The sequence below is a fragment of the Homo sapiens genome, chromosome 14 (assembly GCF_000001405.40).
Source record: "Homo sapiens chromosome 14, GRCh38.p14 Primary Assembly".
Taxonomy (NCBI): Eukaryota; Metazoa; Chordata; class Mammalia; order Primates; family Hominidae; genus Homo; species Homo sapiens.
This window is the reverse complement of record NC_000014.9, coordinates 90,485,554-90,487,748: the sequence shown is the minus strand read 5'-3', so window position 1 is coordinate 90,487,748 and position 2,195 is coordinate 90,485,554. Positions and strand designations below refer to the sequence as shown.

General features: G+C 50.0%; 1 annotated feature.

Moving 5' to 3' along the window:
- Positions 459 to 960: an enhancer, noted in NCBI's record as "H3K4me1 hESC enhancer chr14:90953133-90953634 (GRCh37/hg19 assembly coordinates)". NCBI's record gives its function as "activates a minimal SCP1, AML or CMV promoter by ChIP-STARR-seq in naive H9 embryonic stem cells {active_cell/tissue: H9 hESC(naive)}" and the evidence as "EXISTENCE:reporter gene assay evidence [ECO:0000049][PMID:30033119]".

Below are 2,195 nucleotides of genomic sequence, written 5' to 3'. Positions count from 1 at the left end.
GAGCTGGGTGCTATTTGCATGACCCCATGATGACACAGACTGTGTATTAGGGGAGGCATTCTGCTGTAACAAACAGGCCCACGCAGGTAACATCTCCCTGCAGCAGAAGCACATTTCTTGCCCACACTCACGCTAGTCCCAGGGTAGGTATTGAGGGTGGGGGTCAGCTGTCCTTTACATGGTCCTTTGGAGACCCAGGCTTCTTCCCTCCTGTGGCTCAGCCATTCTGTAGGGCCTCATCATGATCTGCCTCTAACAGACAGAAGAAGACAGAGCCCTGGCCCAGTTGGGAAAATCATCCTTCTACTTTGCTGAAATCCCAAGTGGTTCTTTTCTGGATCTCACTGCTCCCCTCCTCCTGCCAGACCTCGGCCTTCTCTGGGCCCCTGTGTCACAAGCTCAGCCCTCTGCCCACTGGGCAGGGTCTGGTCTGGGCTCCGAGCTGGCCAGGTGGGCAAGGCTGCAGTCCAAGTCACCAAGCAGAGGGAGGCTGGGCTCACTGAGCAGCTGGTGTGTGCTCAATTATCATCCAGTCTGCAAGGAGGAGGCGGGGCTGTCCCCCATCCTGTATCAGGAGAGAACAGGAAGCAGCAGCTGGCAAGGTCACAACTGGAGCCTGCCCACATGGAATTCACATCCCTCTCTGAATCTAAATGTGCCTGGTGCCATAGAGAAGGAAGCAGTTCCTACCTCTCGGGAGAATCCATCAGATGAAGGGGTCTGCAAGCAAGGCTCTCTGAGAGGTGGGTGTCTTGGTGACAGCTGCTGCGGTGGCTGGGTGAGATTATGACCCCTGGCCTTCTTAACATTCCATGCCCACCAGCTCCCTTCTCTGCTAGCAGTTTTCTTAGAATCTATGTTGGTGAAGTCTGGGCTCTTGCTTCTGGCATCCAAGGCCTTCCCTTGGGCTCATCCCTATCTCACCTCTCCCTACCATCTTCCCATGACATGTTCTTCCTTGAGTCAGGATAGCACTGCGGTCTTTGGCATCATGCAATTCCTGGTTCTGCTATTTACTAGCATTATGACCTTGGGGGATCTCTCTGTGACTCAGTCTTCTTATCTGTAAAATGGAGCTCATAATAATTAGTTAGCAGGGATATTGTGTGGATTAAGTGACACGAAGGTATGTATATGAGCCTAGGACAGTGCACATAAATATTCATCTTCTCCATGCCTTTCCCCTTTCTCATCTGGACTCACAAGGCTTCCTCTTCCTCGCTGCCCAGCCAGCTGTCACTTACATCTCTGCTTCCAATAGTTTTCCAGTTCCTGCTGGAGGCAGAGCTTCTCTGACCAGCTCATTCCCCAAGGATCTCTTTGTCATAGTACTAATTGATGGAGAAGAGCTATATATTTGTAACCTGAATAAAATGCAAGGCTCCACATGGACCAGTCTTTGCATGAATTTGCACTCAAAGACTCATAGTCTGGCAACCAAAAGAAACTTAAAATTACATTTCAATCCTTTCCTGATTCTTGAAAAACAGTGGAATTCTTGACCCTCAGCTGACTTCTCAGAAGGTCCTTTGCCACGCCTACTGCAGCTCTTGCCAGCCCACCCTGCAAACTACCCCCAGCCCCACTCCCATGGTCTGTCTCCCACCCTCTCCCCTCTAGTTCTTCACTGTGTACCTTGCTGGAGCCGGGGGTGGGACATAAACACCATAGATAAGTATGTCTTGTCCTCTTTACCTTCAGAGGCATTTGGGCTTGCCAGGCGTGTCTCCTCTAATTTTAAACTCCTGGGAAAGGGACTCGGGATTTGGGAGATTGACTTTTTTATTTTGAGATGGAGTCTCGCTCTGTTGCCCAGACTGGAGTGCAGTGGCACGATCTCGGCTCACTGCAACCTCCGCCTCCCAAGATCAAGTAATTCTCCTGCCTCAGCCTCCCGAGTAGCTGGGATTACAGGCACCCGCCACCACACATTTTTTTGTATTTTTGGTAGAGACGGAGTTTCACCATGTTAGCCAGGCAGGTCTCGAACTCCTGACCTCAAATGATCCACCTGCCTCAGCCTCCCAAAATGTTGGGATTACAGGCGTGAGCCAGCACACCTGGCCGACTTTTTATTTTACAAAATTTCAAAGGGTGGAAAATTTGCAAGAATAGTACAAGGAGCTCTCTTATATCTTGGACCAAAATTTACCAAAATTTACCATTTTCTTCATCTCACTCTCTCTCTACCTATA